The sequence below is a fragment of the Homo sapiens genome, chromosome 12 (assembly GCF_000001405.40).
Source record: "Homo sapiens chromosome 12, GRCh38.p14 Primary Assembly".
Lineage (NCBI taxonomy): Eukaryota > Metazoa > Chordata > Mammalia > Primates > Hominidae > Homo > Homo sapiens.
In genome coordinates, this window is record NC_000012.12 from 119,786,399 (window position 1) to 119,805,432 (window position 19,034).

At 44.6% G+C, this 19,034-nt stretch overlaps 1 protein-coding gene across 14 annotated transcripts in view, besides 1 other annotated feature; it reads right to left on the reverse strand.

Annotated features, from left to right (window-relative positions):
• Positions 1–19,034, reverse strand: part of CIT (citron rho-interacting serine/threonine kinase) — a 191,530-nt gene that overhangs the window by 100,608 nt on the left and 71,888 nt on the right. For 12 of the 14 annotated variants that reach the window (XM_011537788.2, XM_011537787.2, XM_047428134.1 and 9 more), the window contains exon 10: positions 16,808–16,991. The exons of 1 other annotated variant lie outside the window; for it this stretch is intronic. In XM_011537788.2, the coding sequence (XP_011536090.1) occupies positions 16,808–16,991 (184 nt within the window). Of the gene's footprint in view, positions 1–16,807; positions 16,992–17,764; positions 18,107–19,034 lie in introns of those variants that run through there. One more of the 14 variants, XM_011537789.2, reaches the window with a different exon arrangement.
• Positions 17,929–18,480: an enhancer, noted in NCBI's record as "H3K4me1 hESC enhancer chr12:120242131-120242682 (GRCh37/hg19 assembly coordinates)". NCBI's record gives its function as "activates a minimal SCP1, AML or CMV promoter by ChIP-STARR-seq in naive H9 embryonic stem cells {active_cell/tissue: H9 hESC(naive)}" and the evidence as "EXISTENCE:reporter gene assay evidence [ECO:0000049][PMID:30033119]".

The window sequence follows — 19,034 nt, forward strand, 5'->3', positions numbered from 1 at the left end:
AATTATGGGCAGAGATGAGAGAGAGATTCCAGGACAGCTGCCCTCAGTGGTTGGTACACTGGATATGAACACTGGGATTGGTGAAAGACAAGGCCAGAGCAAGTGGCCAAAGGTTCTTATGCACAGAGAGATGTGGCAGAGCCCACCATTACCCCTGGGCCCATCTTTGTTGCCCTGGTAACAGGGTTGCAGAGCTGGTTGTCAGTGACCACTCAGATCTTACCAGCAGGTGCAAGTTCTGCTTTCTACTGCCCAAACTACTTCCCTGACTAAAAGAGGTCAGTTCCCTGCAGCAATGCAAAACACCTCTCTCCCCGCAGCTCCTGGCAATGACAAGGGCTGGCTTGATAGTGCTGACTTGCTGTACTCCAGTGACAGCTTTCCACACTCACAGCCAAATGAGTCAACGCCCAGCATCATGCTCCTCTGTTCAAAATCTCAGGCTGGGCACAGTGGCACATGCCTATAATCTCAACACTTTGGGAGGCCGAGGCAGAAGGATCACTTGAGGCCAGAAGTTCAAGACGGGCCTGGGCAACACAGCAATACCCTGTCTCTATTTTTAAAATAAATAAATAAATTATTTTTTGAAAGACAGTCTCACTCCGATGCCCAGGCTGGAGTGCGGTGGTCCCAGGTCACTGCAGCCTCGACTTCCCAGACTCAAGTGATTCTCTTACCTCAGCCTCCCCAGTAACTGGAACTACAGGCACGCACCACCACACCCAGCTGATTTTTGTATTTTTTGTAGACACGGGGTTTCTCCATGTTGCCCAGGCTGGTCTCAAATTCCTGGGCTCAAGCAATCCGCCCGCCTCAGTCTCCCAAAGTGCTGGGATTACAGGTACCACACCCAGCCGTCTCTATAAAAAATGTTTAAAAATGAGTCGGGCATAGTGGCTCATGCCTCTAGTCCCAGCTACGTGGGAGGCTGGGGTGGGAGGATCGCTCGAGCCCAGGAGTTCAAGGCTACAGTGAGCTACGATTGTACCACTGCACTCCAGTCTGGGTAACACAGCAAGACCTTGTCTCTTAAAAAAAAAAACAAATAGGCCGGGCGCGGTGGCTGATGCCTGTAATCTCAGCACTTTGGGGGGCCGAGGCAAGCGGATCACGAGGTCAGGAGATCCAGACCATCCTGGCTAACACGGTGAAACCTCGTCTCTACTAAAAATACAAAAAATTAGCCAGGCCTGGTGGTGGGCGCCTGTAGTCCCAGCTACTCCGGAGGCTGAGGCAGGAGAATGGCATGAACCCGGGAGGCGGAGCTTGCAGTGAGCCAAGATGGCACCACAGCACTCCAGCCTGGGCAACAGAGTGAGACTCCGTCTCAAAAAAAAAAAAAAAAAAAGCAAATAAATTTAAAAAAAAAAGAAAAATCTGACCCCACCACTGACTAGTTATTTGACATCTCCGAACCTCAGTTTCCTCAATTGTAAAATGGCCATAATTACCAACCTACTTCAAAGAGTTCTTGGAAGGATTAAATGAAATAATGCATGTAATGCTGTCAGCACAGTGCCTGGCACACTGCAAGTGTTCGACAAATGTCACCTGTTACTACTGTCATTGTTGTGTTTTCCATTACTACCCATGCAACTTCATAAATAGTACATGCCTCACGGGCCTAAAGCAATTGCTTAAAATGGTAAAACTCAGGGGGCTGAATTTGCTGTGTGCTATTATTCACATTAAAACAAATGGTGATTATTCATAGAAATGGGCAACAGGGATTGGATCCAGAAATAAATCTTTTTAAAAATCTTACTTTTGGCTAGAAATTTTAACCAAGTTCTACGCTTCTCACCAGCCTGTTTTCTACCTAAATCTAGCCAACACACACACACTCTCTCTCTTTTCCTTTTCATATAAGATGAAATGCTTGGCATGGCCTTGAGCAAAATTCCTTTGCTATTTCCTTTATTCCTAATTGCACCTGGCTGGGTGGGCTAGAGAACAAGACCCAAACCACCCACGGAGAGAGTGGTGATCCACAGACTGGGTCCCTGGTCCTTCAGAGATCAAAAGTCACCCACATGTCATGAAGTCACATGCATGACATGCATCAGGGATGACAACACAGGTCACAGCTCCTTGTGCTTAAGCAAAAAACTGGCACCCTTTAAAAGAACGATGACATGGGTGCATGATGATAGGTAGGATGTGGCGTGAAAAACTTAATGACACATAGAAGGCTGGCCCCAGTAGGGCTTCCTGTTTAAAGTGCACCGCTGTGGGTACAAAACAGATTGCTTTTTCACCCCCCACCAAAAAAAACGAAAGGCACTTTTAGGTCACTTATCAATGGGCCCAGAAGCGAGGAGATGTGCAGCCCCCACCCGCCGGCACTCGAAAGAGACCATGCGACAGCCCTCCTCACCCGAGGTCCAACCCCTTCATTCTGCTATTCTATGTTTGACAAATGCTCACTGTTTAGAAGTTCTAAGCACAGCAATTAAGAGCTCTTTAGAATAAAGGTGCTAAAGAAATCTTTTTCTTTAAGAATAAATAAAAATTGCATCTAAAAAAAAGCTAGAGTAAGAATGCTATGACTAAGCTGGGTGTGTAGCAACAATCCCATAAACAATCATGGGATTGGAGGATGAGGCTGGAGAGTAAAGGTTATCAGGCTTCCTACACCTTCCCTGGTCCTCAATGCAAGTACACATTAGAATCACTTGGAGACCTTTTAAAAAACACCTGATGTATAGGCCCCATTCAGACCAATTAAATCAGAGAGTCAGAAAGATGTGGAGTGTGGCCCCGGGAAGCAACATTTGTATTAAGCTGCTGAGTGATTGTAATGTACAGAAAGGATTAAGAACCATGGTGCTAATTAGAAGAAAGTGCTTCTGATTTAGGGTCTAGCCACTTAAAACTCATTGTATGACCATCCCCAGCATTTAGTTCCATGTAGCATTTTGGCCAGACCATTTGGTACTGGTGCCTTTTCATCACTCTTTGAGTAAGAACCCAATTTTGAAATTAATGGTGGTGGGCTATGAATTTCAAAACAACGTACAGGTATTAGATAATGATTAAAGCCTATTGTCCCCAGTGTTAATAATTCAGTTAAAATATACCATTTCCATGAATTTCTATAAAAGAAATATAATACAGATAGACATGGCTCAATTTAAAATGTTTATATTCTATTCATTTTTCATGTAGACATGGGGAAATTCAATCTCTAGCATCAATGGTAAGTTCTCAGTATGTATTTCTTGAGCACACATATCCTCCCCAACAAATATTCTGAAATATTACAATTTATTTTCTTTTTCTAAGATTTTCTTTTTTTGTTTTTTGTTTTGTTTTGTTTTGTTTGAGACGGAGTCTCACTCCGTCACCAGGCTGGAGTGCAGTGGCACAATCTCGGCTCACTGCAACCTCCACCTCCCGGGTTCAAGCGATTCCCCTGACTCAGCTCCCGAGTAGCTGGGACTACAGGCGCACGCCACCACGCCCAGCAAATTTTTTTTTTTTTTTTGTATTCTAGTACAGATGGGGTTTCACCATGTTGGCCAGGATGGTCTCAATCTCCTGACCTCATGATCTGCCCGCCTCAGCCTCCCAAAGTGCTGGGATTACAGGGGTGAGCCACTGCACCCGGCCTGTTTTCTTTTTCTAAGATTTTTATTAGCCATCCTTCTGACTTTCAAAGCAACAGCAAGTGATTGCTGATAATTGCATTATGCTAACATTGACCATAATGTAAATCATAGCTTGAGAGGTTCGATCAAAGACTGGCCTCAGAGTCACCAGTTACACCAAATATTATTGTATATTACATTATAATAATATTACATACATATTATCACATATATATTATTACCAAATATAGCCCTGTCCTCTTCAAGCAGCAAGTCGGCTGGTCTCAAATTATCCCGAAAAGTACCACTTCATCAAGCATAGTATTATTTAAAGAGCTGATACTATCACTGCTTTAAGGAAAGTTTGCAAGAAAAATCCTCTAACTGGTTGGAACTCTAAAATGATGGGCAATGGGGTGCAGAGTTGCAGTAAACAAACTATCTAATTATGAAATTCTGTTGACCATGGAATGGGACAGAGTCTATCTGTTCATTAAAATGCCTTCCAAAATTTTTCCTTTGTTCTCAAAATTCTCAAACTTCAACAAAATTTTTTTTAACCACCTTCTCTAAGCGTGTGTGTGAGAGAGAGAGACACCCAGAGAGGGAGAGAGAGAGACAGAGAAGAGAATATAAAAGCCCTGTGATCCCCATGAGAGATACCTGCAGACCAGTGGTTCTCAACAGGGGCAGTTTGGCAATGTCTAGACATTTTATTTTCATGACTAGGGGTGCTATTAATATGTAGTGGGTAGAGGCCAAAGATGCTGCTCAACATCCTACAATCCACAGGACAGCTCCCACAACAAGAATTATCCAGCCCAAAATGTCAATAGTGCCAACTTGAGAAACTCTGCTGCAGTGGCCATTAAGGAAGCCACAATTCCTGTCCTCAAGGAAGTAACAATCTAGGAGAGAGAATTAATGCCACGACCTTTGTCATCAGGACAAGTGCTCATTTATTGAGCACGTGTCAGGCACGTGTTTAGTGCTTCATGGGTTACTTCACTGAGTCCTCCCCACAATCCTATAAGATGGGTATTATTCATGGCATTAAGGAGGGGCTTGCCCTATACCTCTATGTTCTCCTACCACGTTACCATGATTTGTGCAGGGGTGCCAGGCAGTAGAACCCCAGTTCAAAGCTGAGGCTCTATCACCAAACAGTCATGGCTTCAAATCCCATTTCTGCTACTTCTTAGCTAGATGGCCTTGGACACACTCAAGAAAAGTGCTACAGAGGCTCAGAGGGGCAAGGTCATGGAGGAAAGGGAGAGCGGAACATGTGAGATACAGTGACCTCCATCCATGACTGGCTGCATTCAGTGCTAAGAAGCTGACTCCAAGCCTGAGTCCAGGACAGCTCTGGATACCCAAGAACATCCACATGCCAGGTTGGTTCACAGCCACCCCAGGGAAAGCTCACCCCACAAGAGCAACTCTCCCTCCCTCACTTTAGGGTTCAGGGGAGTAATTAGGTGGGAAGCAGGGTAGATATTAGAAACCCAGGCCAGTTCATGCTCTGGGCTCGACGAGATGCAGTACAATGAAGATGCTAATAAAAGAACATGCAGCCTGCCCACACGTTGCTTGCCTACTCCTGGCCACATCTCGGATACACAGCCAGTTATCCCCATGGAGAGAAAAGGCACTTCTGAGCAGCGGGTGCACGCAGCCACCCGCCCACACACAGCAGTGCTGTCTCTTCGAGCACGAAGCCAAGTTTGGGTTTTCCTTTTTTTTCCAGCTTCTATTTTCTAGAAAAACTTACTCTGAAATCAACATCTCTCCCTGATATACACATCTGCTTTATAATTATAGAAGCCCAAAGAGTATTAATAGGGATAATGGCATATGACACAGAAGAAAGAGCAGGCATGGTCATTACCGCTGTAACAGGAAGACATGTTTTCTTAAAATGTATCAGATATGACATAAAAATTGCTTTACATGTAACCTCAACATTTCAGTGAAAATTATAAAATGCAGTTTTCCCGTGATGTACCTGTAAATAATCCATATAACTTTGTTAAAAAAAATTACTTAATAGGGCTATGAATAAAATATTGCATATCAAAAGAGAATACAATGTGTACTCCTTCCTACAAGCAAGTGTACATGTTGAATACTCTTTAATCACTACTGCGATGATTAAGTTCGTGCTTAAGCATCAAGCCATCCATTTATTCCCTTAGGAATAGGACCCTATGCCTGCAAAATACGACACCAAACCACAGATAACACAGATCACAAATCCCAGATATTCTTGGGAAAACCAAGAATGAGTATACTTGAAGCCAAAATGAGGGGACTCAAAATTAGCTCAGCTGAGGGCCCCACCTTTAGTGCTGGCCAACAGCACTAAAAATACATGCAACTGCAAGATGTAATATGCTGCAAAAAATAAAAAACTCATCAGCATTCCGTTTCCAAAAATATACTGGCTTTTAAGATTGAGCATTCCGAAATTTGTGAACTTGTTTTATTTATTTATTTAGAGATGGAGTCTTGTTCTGTCACCAGGCTGGAGTGCAGTGGTGCGATCTCGGCTCACTGCAACCTCTACCTCCCAGGTTCAAGCAATTCTCCTGCCTTGTCCTCCGGAGTAGTTGGGACTACAGGCACGCGCCACTGTACCCAGCTAATTTTTTTGTATTTTTAGTAGAGATGGGGTTTCACCACCCCGTTGGCAAGGATGGTCTCGGTCTCCCAACCTCATGATCCACCCGCCTCGGCCTCCCAAAGTGCTTGGATTACAGGCGTGGGCCACCACATCTGGCCTCTGAACTAATTTTATAAGCACACTTTAAAATACACAATGGTGGCCGGGTGTGGTGGCACGCACCTGTAGTCCTAGCTACTCGGGAGGCTGAGGCAGGAGAATTGCTTGAACCTGGGAGGCGGAGGTTGTCTTGAGCCGAGATAGCGCCACTGCACTCCAGCCTGGCGACAGAGTGAGACTCCGTCTCAAAAATAAAATAAAAATAAAATAAAATAACAATGGTGCCCATCAGGAACACCTGGAAATATCAAAAACACTATTCCCCTAAAGACAGTCAGAGTCTGTCTAGCTTTGGGGCACCCCCCCTCCCCCACCACACACAATATATATATTTATATATATACCATACACACATATACATACTGACACACACCACACATACTCATATACATACACACATATGCACTCACACACACAACCAGCAGTGGTCTCTAGTTAAATTAGAGCACTTGCTTTGAAATGATTAATATGTAGCTCCAGAATCATTTATCAAAAATCATGCTATTAATAAAAGAATAGCTAGTCCCATGATTTTTAATTCAGTTCCCACCTCTAAGCCAGTGCCTCACTTTGCAGGTTAATTTCATTGCCTCTCACCTGGATGACTGCAATAACCACACTTACCTCCCTGGATCCAACTCTTGTCCCTCACTATCCACCCTCCACACAATGGTCAGAGGCACACTTTGTGAAATAAGACCCAGATATTCCATGACCCTATTCAAAATCCTGCAAAAGCTTCCTACTCAGTGCAATTTAGAGCAAAGTCCATACCTAAAGGCCCTGATGACCTCAGCTCAGACCATGTTCCTTGTGTATCCTTAAGTACCCCCTACCCAAACATGCCTTCTGTTCATTGAGCACCCATAGGTTAGTGGCAGCCTCAGGGCCTTTGCCCTTTTTTCCTCTCTCTGGAATACTCTTCCCACTTATTTTTGCTAACCGACTCCTTATTGATATTCTGGAAGAATGCACTCTGTGTGGGCAGGGATGCTTGCTCCTTTGCATTCACTGTTACTTCTCCAGTGCCTAGAAAGTGCTTGGCACATAGTAGGCTCTCAAATAGCTGAATGAATTAATGAATTAATGAACAAATGAATGAATGTGAATCTGCCCCCATCATGTAAGCTCCATGAAGACAGGGATTTTTGTCTCATAGTCAGTGCTATATCCCAGGTTCTCGAACAGCCCCTAGGACCTCAGAGCTGCTCAGTGTGGGCTTAAAAGCTGTGTCACCTTGGGATGCAACTCAGCCTTCTTGAACAAATACTCATGCTCAGCTCAGAGAACCTTTCCTTGCGGACCCAGTCTAAAGTGGCCACCCCCAGGCAGTCTCAATCCCAATTCTGCAGACCACCATCTGCAATTGCCTCACATGTGCACAGTAGTTATTTCTCCTTTGTTTCTCCCCACCAAATGCTAGCTTCTTGAGAGTAAAGACCTTACCTGTCTTGCTCAGAGTTGTGCCTTAAGGACTAGAACAATATATTTGTTGAGTGAATGAATGAATGAATGAATGAATGAATAAATAAGTGAATGGTGTGCTAGTACTTCTGTGCCCCCAGGCAGCCAGTTTAAAGGTCACCGTGGGATAAAGGAATCCAAAATGAGAAGTGTGCTGCATGTATGCTGGCATGAAAAAGCTTTCCAGCACCTGCAAGTAGAGATGCCCAGCATTGGTTCTGAGACAGGAATGGCACAATGACACACAGACTTACCCATCCAGGGGATACCCAAGTGCTTCCAGGGTGGGTGGGAGCATGTGACATCTAGGCTGGGAACATGCACACTTCCCACTGGCACTGGATCCTACCAGAAGCCTGGAGAGCATTTTATAGAAAGTGCAGGTTGAAGTGATACATCACAGACTCCATTCAGAGTAAAAAATTAGATGGAGATATTAGGACATCTGTCAGGCCCCCCACGTGGAGCTGGATTCTCTCAATGGGCAGAAACCAGCAAGATGTCTTTATAAGGCGGAAGCAGGGAGAAAAAGAGAGTCCAAAGCACCCCATACCCATCCTCGGACCTAAATAACATTAACAAATATGAAATGAACACTCATTCTACTCATGGCACCAACACTAAGTGTGCTTCATATCCCCATGGCAAACCTATCAGATAGGCGACCTTACACCTTCCACTTTACAGATGAGGGAATTGAGGCTGAAAGCAGTGAAATGTCTCATTCACACAACAAGCAAGGGGTGAAACCCTGAGTTCAGCCCACGTCTGTCTGATTCCAAAGCCTGGACTTTGAATGGGTATGCTACAGTCAGTCCCAAAAAAATAGGCATGTTTATATCAGTTCTAAAGTTAAAAGTTGAGCCAGGCGTGGTGGCTCACATCTGTAATCACAACACTTTGGGAGGCCGAGGCTGGCAGATCACTTGAGGTCAGGAGTTCAAGACAGGCCTGGCCAACATGGTGAAACCCAGCCTCTACTAAAAATACAAAAACAAAATTAGCTGGGCGTGGTGGCAGGCACCTGTAATCCCAGCTACACGGGAGGCTGAGGCACAAGAATCGCTTGAACCTGGGAGGCGGAGGTTGCAATAAGCTGAGATTGTGTCACCGTACTCCAGCGTGGGCAACAGAATGAGACTCTGTCTCAAAATAAATAAATAAATAAGTTAAAACTTGGAAAAGTTGACCACCCTCTGCCAGATGTGAGCTGAGTGAACCTAAGAAGTAACCCAAGCATCATGATCATCATTTTCTCTATCTGTAAAATAATGAGTTATTGCTGGGTCTACATGAGAATGCTTGTCAGGCACTCAGAATAGTACCTAGAAGAGTAGATTCTCATTAAAACCAATTCTTTTACCTTTACTATTAGACAAGTCCATAACTCCTGCATAATCTAGCAAAGTCATGGCTCTTAGAGGCAGGGTAGATAGTACAGTGGTCTAGAGGCAACCAGATATTGCTCCAAGTCTTAGATGTGTTTCTACCTTCAGAACCTCAGGAAAATAATCTAATCTTCCTGAATCAGTGTCTTCATTTGTAAAATGGGGATAATATCAGCTACCTCATAGAGTTACAGTGAGATTGTGATGATTTAATGAGATAATGCACATAAAGTACTCGCATAGTTCTGGGAACACAAGAAGTGCTCTACAGAAAACAGGTTCCATTAGCAGTTGTCTACACTGTGCAGAAGGAATTGGTATAATCCCTGGCCATTTTAGTCTAATTCAATTCAACAAATGTTCATTGAAGACCTGCCAGGGGCAAGGCACTGTTTCAGGCAAAAGAAGGAAGACCTGGTCCTGTCCTTAATGAGCCTTGAACAGCTTGGCCAGACAACACTATTGAAGTGATTCAGTAGGGGATGAGGAGACACAAATGAGCCGGCAGGCTGGGGTCTTGGCATACCAAGACTGAATACCAAGTTCAGGAGCAGCCATTAATTATGAGCACACTGGGATGCTGTTGAAGGTGTAAGCCGGTGAATGACATCATCCAACCTATGCTTTGGAAGAATTCCACCCTTTGTGGAGAATGGATTACAGCCAGGAAAACCAGAGGCAAGGGAATCACTGAGGAGGCTACTGCACCAGACCAAGCAAGAGTCCATGATGGGTGCCAATGAGGAAGAAAGATGGGTATGGATGCAAGTGGCATCCTAGAGGCACCACTTGGAGAAATTGGCAACTGATGGGATGGCGGGGGAGGCAGAAAAGAATTTACGATGACTCAGCTTTCTTGCCTAGAAGGGTAGGGAAGGTGGTAGTTTCTTACATAAAATGAAGAAGCCAAAACTAGCACCTAGTGGCTTACTGAGTGAGCGAGTGGGTCTGTCTATGTAGGAAGGGAACAGAGGATGGGATGGTGAGAAACTGGTAAAACATCCTGGTGATGAGGAACACAGTGTACGATGGGAGGAGGCCATGGGGAGGTAAGAACTAAAGTCAAGGAACTGAATGAGATCACCAAGAACCAACTAGAAAGATAACTGAGGATGGAACTTGAGGAGATGGTACGTACATTGCAAGAGCCTGATGGCAGCCACAAAAGAGTGAGAATGACAGTCAGAGAGGTAGGAGGGAAACCAAGTGTCCATAATACAGAAGAGAAGAAAGTAGAACGTTGTCTCGAAGAAAGGTAGTATTAATGGTATCACGTGGTGAGATGGAAATCACCAGATTTGGTGGTTAGGTACAATCAACGGCTTCTGAGACAGTCATTTCAGTATTGTTGAAGAGGTGGAAAAAAGAGGTGTTGAGTGCAGGCTCTTCTTTCAGGAAGTTTGTCGGAGAGAGGTCAGGAGATGAACAGCAAGCAAAGCAAAAAGAACTAGGAGAAATTCACGTAGACAAAGGAAGAGTTGCCAGACTGGCGCAGAGCTTGGGAACATGTAGCGCCATTTAGTCAATGACTGTCTTCTTAAGGGATCCCAGGCAACCATGCAAATTAGCATGTGTAGGCCAGCAAAAAACACACTTGACAGATCTTCTGGAGCCTAATCTTCAGGACTGGGCTAGGATTGTCTGGATTAGATTTCCTAAAGGTATCTTTAAGACAAATGAGAAGGCGGTGGAATGGTCCTGCCAGGGCTGCAAGGCAGGCACGCACAGTCTAAATAGAGAACAGAATAAGGCAAGTAGGAGAACAAGCTGTGCTTGGCTAAGAGAAGGAAGAAATTGAATGAGCAAGAGGAGAGGAGAAAATCCAACACAACACACACAGGCAAATGTTAAACATCTAATCCAGATAATGAGGGGATGGGAACAACACAAGGCACTTGAGAGCAATAACCATGGGCAGAAGCTAGTTAAGGTTTTTGAACTTGTCTGGGAAATACAGCAGATGCATGTCTTCGTGTAGCAGAGACGACTCTGTTATTGCTGCTATTTAAAAAATCAAATTGCAGGCAAGACTCTTTCCAATAGGGATCTAGGTAGCAAGCACAAGGACCAAGAGCCTTTGGCTGGATGTAGAAAGGAAAACACTTTTTAAGGGAAGATCCTCCAACCTCCAAGTATTTCATAAAAAGGAAACAGGACTGATTGGAGAGTTCAGGCTGTCTTCCACTGGTATCAGCCATCCCAGGACAGATGGGAGGCAAACAAAAGTACAAAATGTAGATGTGAATAGACATAGATAGTAGAGTCATCAACAAAATGAGAGTTGCAGCCATAAGAATGATTTAGATGGATTAACCAAATGCTTATTAAGCAACTTGTGTATGATCAGCCTGAAGATATGGTGGAGAGTAAGGTCAGTGCAGTTTCCTCTCTTTGCCAAGCTTAAGCTTTAGCAAATAAGAACATTCAGGGAAAGAGTATATACGCGTGGGTTTATGTATGTGTGCGGGCACACACACACCAGATAAGAGTCTCTAAATGAAAAGAGGAAAAAATCTGAGAAATCCAAGAGCTATACCGTCTACCTACTCAATAAACACAGAGACTGAAAATGAATCCCAGCATTTAGACCTGCCTGTCAGCTCCCATCACACCCTGCCCCAACCTCATCATTCGTGATTCTCTACAAATAGCTTCCACTTCTAACAAGCACATGAACCTGGGTACCCCACACAAATTTCCCATCTGTGGCGTTTATACCCACAGGGTTCAAATCTCAGCTAAGCCACTCAAAGCTACATAACTTTAGGCAAGTTGTTTGATCTCCCCACGCCTCAGTTTCCTCACATCCAAAATGAGAATAATAATGGTACCTTCCTCTTGGGCTGGTTGTGCAATTTAAATGAATTCATCTGTGTAAAGTGGTTGGAACACAGCCTAGAACACAGTTGGTGCCCTGTAAGGATGGGCTGTTGTTAGCACCCTGCCCACCTGAAATTCCCTCTACCTTCCTCTCCACTGATCCAAATCCACTGTCTTTTTAAAAAACCAACCCAAATATTTTACTTTCCATTAGTATGCTTATAAGCCCAGTTCCAGCACAAGTATTTACTGCTCCAGGAAAACCAGGATGAATAAGACCCAGCCTTGCCTTGAGATCACAGTCTACTTGGGGGAATGGACAGACATTCCAAGGAAGATCAGCAATGTAATTTAACAAGAATTGTGAATTGGCATTACCCATTAAGCGTCCCTCACTGGATTTTGCCTTACTCCGCTAACTCCCAAAGATGTCCAATTTGTACCATGATATTCTGCAGCAATGGTGTTTGCTTTACTTTCTCTCAGTTGTTTCAACATAACCTGTTTTGACTTGTTCAACTTGATGGGAAGGTACCCATTCTGGGACTGGACCTTCTAATTCTGTTCCCCAATCCACTCCTCCCCAACATCCACCTTTTACCAACAGGTATTTGGCAACTGCATATTAACTCTTTGTAGTTGGTCAGAACCGTGAAGTGTCTCTAGCAGAAAAGTCCCAGGGCCTGGGAAGCTTGGTTTCCAATCTGGTATGACTTTGGACTACCTAATCATTGCTGAGTCCTTTCCATATTCTCTTGGTGTGTATAGGAGGACACTATACATACATGGACTAGTGTATTAGTAATAACAAAAATAACAACAGTGAACATTTACCAAGGCTTTTCCATGTGCCAGGTACTAGACCAAGTGTTTTACGTATTTCATCCATCCCCGCAAAAGTCCTGTAAGAAAAGTATCGCTGTCCTTCCACTTCGCAGTTGAAGAAACTGACATGCAGAGAAGCCCCAGTAGAGCAAGGAAGAGGCACCAAAAACTGGTTCCCAGAAAACTCGGGAAGCAATGGCAACAGCCACTCTTCCTTCCTCCATGGTGTTTGAATGCCTGGATCCATCGCTGTGTTTTCAGAACCACCCGAAAAGAAAGGAAAAATCTCTGAATCAAAAGGAAGAGAGTGCCCCTTCCTAAAAACAGCCTACCCAGACACCATCTTCCCACAAATTCCAGCCCCATCAAGATCCCATTACCCTCAGTGTTCCCCAACTCTTCCAAAAGCATACAACCAGCATGTTTAAAACAAAAACATAAAACCAACTGATTTTTACCTTCTACAGCAAGCTTGTCCAACCCAAGGCCCCGGGGGCTGCATGCAGCCCAGGATGGTTTTTAATGTGGCTCAAAACTTACAAGTTTGTAAGCTTTCTTAAAACTTTATGAGTTTTTTTTTTTTTAGCTCATCAGCTATCATTAGTGTATTTTATGTGTGCCTCAAGACAATTCTTCTTCTTCCCATGTGGCCCAAGGAAGCCAAAAGATTGGACACCCCCGTTCTAGAGTTTATACTTATGGTTTGCAGAAATGCACGGCTTCACCAAGAACTTAAATGAGGCAGTGCCTCAATCTAGAAGGAAAAACCTAAATAAATGTACCCCTTGCTAATGGGAAGGAAAAGAGCTGAGATCTATTTTATTTTTAAAACTTTAACATGCTGTTTCCTGTTACTACCCTACTATTGTCAAGTTCAAGCAAAGAAAGGCTGAGAGGAACAGCCAGGCATTCAGAGCTTGGGGATTTGGTTTGGGCTCTTGCTGGTTAAAAAGGAAAAGAAGCATCAGACAGCTACTCACTCTCCAAGACTAATTTCACCATAACCCCACCCCAAAGACAACCAAACCTAGTTCTCTAGAAACTCTCCAGCTCCCACCAACTCAAGCTGCAAGGAACTCCCACTACGCCTCAGCCATTGAAACGCTGTCATCAAGATTCTTGCTCAGCCTAAAATAATGATGCACTCAATGGCTTAAAAATAGTCTGGGGTCCCAAAATAAGGATCCCAAAAAACGAGGAGCTATCACAGAATTTAAATCATTCTCACTGCCAATTTCTCCACAAAAACTCCTCGTTCATTCAGCTCCACCTCTGAACATTTCATTCAATTCACTGGTAACAAATCTGAGGTCAATTTACCTAGCACAGTACAGCAGCATCTGCAATTTCCTCAGTGGTGTGAAGAATGAGTAACAGCACAGGTAATCAATGTGTGTAAATAAAAACCTGTGATGCTGAAAACGGTGAGAAAAGAAAAAGAAACTCAGGAAGAAACACAGGGTCGCTGGCAGCAAAGGTGGTACCCCCAGAAAATGTCTCCCCCTCTCTCCAAGTAAATTTTGTCAATAAAACTGCAGGAGCTGCTAAGTAATTTCATCACTGCCTCTCTTTTATTAGATTTCTAATTAATCACAATCTGATATGTCCAGGGTCATCTACATCCAACAGGTGGATGAATTTCTAAAATGATGCTTGTAGGTATCACCCACAGGGCTGCCTACAGCAGAGTAGCCAAGTCCAATAGCAATAACACATAACAAGACGCAAGATGAAAGAAAATCTTTCTGATTCCAACCCCGTTGCCAAGCTTTGAAAAAACGTTAAAGTTCCCCAATGATAGGAATACTCTGATGCCATCGTCCAAATAAGAAATACACAGTTTTATTTGCATGGACCTTTTTTGAAATAAGAATCTTATTAAACATTCTGTTGGGTCAGGAACAGCAGCTCGTTTTGTGCTCTAAGGATATAGTTTAAACTACCAGAGGTGAGATAGCACATCTTCAAATACAATAAGCAATATAAACACTTCTGGAGGAAAGGATCATAGGTAAATTAAATCAACAAATATTTATCGAGTGCCTCAGCCTTAATACTGAGATGTCCCTGTCAGAGAGCTCCCTAAACTGAGCTTTCTGTGAGAAACAGAAAGATGTCGTTCAAGTCTTCCTGAAAAATAAGCAATTAATCACACACTGCTTCAGATTAATTGCAATGCCTAAGATCTCCCATATCATTCTGCCTTTTCCCCTGAAATCTAACTCCCTCGAATCCTCCCTCGTCTTTCAGATCACTGACCAACACCCAAGCAAGCTTGCATTCTGACCCAGCCAGCCCACTGCTAACCAGAACTAGAACTCTCCACACGTCCTTCCAGTACGACGTGTGACCTTCAGTGTGCTGCGTGTGTCAAGGTTATACTGCCCACTAACCATGCATCCTTCAACATCAGGCCTCCGCTTCTGCCCTGCTCTTTGATGCCAATGGCAAAACCTCCCAATCCTGCTGAGCCGTTTCAAACCCATCTGATGGCACATTCAACAGCTAGTTAGCACTCTGCCTCTCCCACCACCATCCAGATTGCTTTGGGGTTGTGGAGCAAATCAGACAGAGAGGCACATCTAACACTACCAAAATCCAACCTGAATTTGAAACCCAGCCCCCAGAGAGGGGATCAAGAAAGACCACTTCAACATCTTGCAACATAAAAACCTCCCTCACATTCAATCACAGCCCACAACCTTATTTCGTATCAAATGCCCAATTCCCCACAACACTCTGAAATCTTTTCAGGAACGTTACTGTCAAAATAGCACCCATAGGGAGACACCATCCAGGAACCAACATAACATCCCTATAAATCGATATCTAAGCTACAAATACCACAAAGAGGGAAAGATGCTGCCAAGAAGAATATCAAATTCTGCTCGTCTCCTAAGTGGGCAGCAACTAACCCAACATTACCCTCTGAGAACCTGAAAGTGCAGGGACCAGGGTGGCTGGCAAATAACACCATCAGTCCAAGATCTTCTGGGGAACTCACTCCTCTGAAAACAGAATGTCATTGTATCATGAGAGAATGAGGCAAGATACTGACCTCCCACATCCACAGAAGCTACTGCATTTTACAGAAATTCCAGGAGGCTCCTGGAAGCCTCGACCCTCTAATTCCAAGTGCTCTGTTAATGCATTTTTCAATAGCTTTTATGAGAATGGAGAAAGACCTACCAGATCAAGAGGTTTACAGTGATATTTATATTTCCATTTTCTAGTCTCCTGGTTTTTTTTCCCCCTATGAAGCCCAGTTTCTGTGAATCAATGACTCGGCTACATCACACTCCCTCCTGGTGGCTCACAGTAACGGGGCTTTCTCTGGCTGCCAGCGCTCCACCAGCTCAGAGAGGCTCAGCTGCCAGATCCCTGATCTTGCAGCATACTTGGAGAGGAGCCGAGCACCATCTCTCTGTTAGAGCTCTGGTTCAGCCACTTGCAGCTCAGTTAAACCCATCAGGAAACCTCTAGCTTATGAGACAAGGTTTTTAGGATTCTTTATACAGCCAAGATAGCAACCCCCATCCACCCACTTGAGAGACAGATACATAGATGGTTAGATAGATGGGCAGCTCATCTTAACTCCTGCACATTTCTCCTTTGACCGGGGATCTGCACTGCTGGAAATCTCCCACTCTCTCCCCTTTAAAGAAGACCAAAGATTGGAAAACTAACCCAAAGTACCCAATTGACAATTATCATACCACAGACAGGAACAGGTACCTTACACACTGCAAAATGAGAATATTAACAGGCTACCCCCGCAAAGCCCTAACAGGTAGACTGCTTTCCCAATGCAGGTGACTAGCAGCTTCCCTCCACTGCACTCCCCCCACCTATTCCCCCACCCCCCCACCACCACCTTTGGCTCCAAAAGCCTTGCATCAATGCAGGTCCCTTTAGAAAGTCAAATTTTCACTTACTCAGATCTACCAAGAATCCCCAGTGCCTTGCTGTACGAAAACCCCACAAACGGCAGTTCTTCACCCGAGAAGCCTGAGGGGCTCAGCTGGCACGGAGAGGATGAAACCCACGAATTCTTCTCTGGTTCATCAAAATTGGAGGTGTCATCGTCAGACTTGAGGGTGGGAACGAAGGGGGGAGGAGCTGGTTAAAGAAAAACAAGAAAGGAGGCGGGGAGGAAAAAAAATTTCAGCCGGATTCAACACTGTTGCGGAGAAGATCGTCTTACTCCTTCGGCGCTGGCGATGGCACTGCAGCGCCTGCTTTCAATCTAGCTCGCAACCTCGGCTCCTACAGCAACAAGAGATTAACCCCTTCTCTGCCAACATGGCCACCAACCCGCAGACAGGCTGCCTTCCCGCCTGGGGTAAACTGAAGAGCAAACTCAAACAGGTCACTTGGGCCAACGAAAGCACTTGGGCCAACGAAAGCACTTGGGGAACTCGTGGGGAAGCCGCTCCTTCCTGCTGTTTCCAGAAGGCTCCTACAGAGCAGCTGCTGGCTAGTGCCAGGATGCTAGGAGACCTAAACCTATGGATTCCCTCCTCCAGACAGGTCTAAATTATTAATGATTAGCACTAATCGTTGAAATAAGATGGAACTTCTACATTTCGTGGATTAACCGGGATAAGAGGAAGGACCAGGAAAAGGGATGTGTGAGGTTCTGGAACTCCTGTTAGGATACCACTGCAGTCTACTTCATTCATACCCGGACAAGTCGACTCCGAGATCTTATTAACCACTTTTTTTTTTTTTTAGTTCATTATGCATCTTCCCCAGCGCAATCATGCCCATCAAATCCACTGCAGTTTAATCAGCATAATGAAGCACCAGCCAAATAAAGTTCCTACCGGTGATCTACAGCACCCCTGCGCGCTGACGGTGGGAATGCACGGATGGACATATGCGGCTCCTACCTCCTCAGGGCTTCACTCCCGGCTGGGGGCGTGTTACATCCTCTCCACTTCCTCCGACCTACTAAGCGCTCTCGGTCTGGGAGGTGGACACTCGTCCATCAGTCACCAGGAGGCTGCCCATCGCGGTGGGCTCCCGGGGGTGTCCCCCGCCAGAAACGTTACCATGGTTGCAAGCTGAGGCGTCCGTGGCGGGCCAGCCAGGCGAGTTAGAGCCGAGCATCACATCCCCCGCAGTGCAGGCTGCATGCTCCCGGCTCCGTGCGTGCGTGCTCTGGCTGGAACCCCACCTGGCTGCCGCCTGCCTGCCAGGGGCCAGTGCTGATCCCAGTGACAGAGCAGCATGAGTCACTGCCCGCCAGGGCTCGCTAGAGCTCCCCCTAGGACAGTTGTCACAGCCCTTCACAGCCCAGACTTCTTTTTAACTCCTCGTTTTCTGGACAAAGCTGGGTGCCAGATATGAGCAGCAAGCAGTCTGTTTTCTGCTTACAGACTCCAAAAAAATCTGGCTGTTTCCAAAGTTCCCCGATGACAACAACATCCAAGTGGCGCTGGGAAGTAATTGGAGCAGGAAAGGGATGTGGAGGGGAGAGGAGATGAAGCCAGAGGTCTGGCTGTTCCTGAGAAGTACAAAAGAACATTCCCAGAGCTTCAGGTACATTGAGATGAGGTGGGAGAGTGAGGAAGATTTAAGATGTAAAATGTGCACTACCAGAAAATTATTTAACACCTCCAGTCTCTCAAGAGAATTTAAATCTTCCCTGTTAGTGTCAGAATCTACTTGCTTAATACTTTAAAAATTAGCTGATGGAAAGAAAAATTAGATTGAACACTTCAGCCCACATCCCATGTGTACTTCCATCAACACAGGCTCAAATCCAATCTGGTTTCAATTATCCGGTACCTTTTTTAATAGCAAAAAAAAAAGTTTTAATGGAAATTGTATTTCATAAGGATCAAAAACAGAAGTTTTCCTTCCTGAAATAAGGAAACTCAGATAAAGACTGAGGAAATTTATGGAGAGAGATTTGCAGATGATACTAATATGGAAGCAAAGTGGTTAATGGCAATTGTTCTGGAATCTCAGTTCAAATCCCAGCTCCACCACTTACTAGTTCTGTGACACTGGGTAAGTCACTTAACCTCTCTGAACCTCAGTTTTCAACATGGCAATATCTATTTCAATGGACTATTAGGAGGTTTAAATAAAATAATCCATATAAAAGTGTTTACCACAGTTCTTAGCATACAGTAATCACTCCACAAATATGAC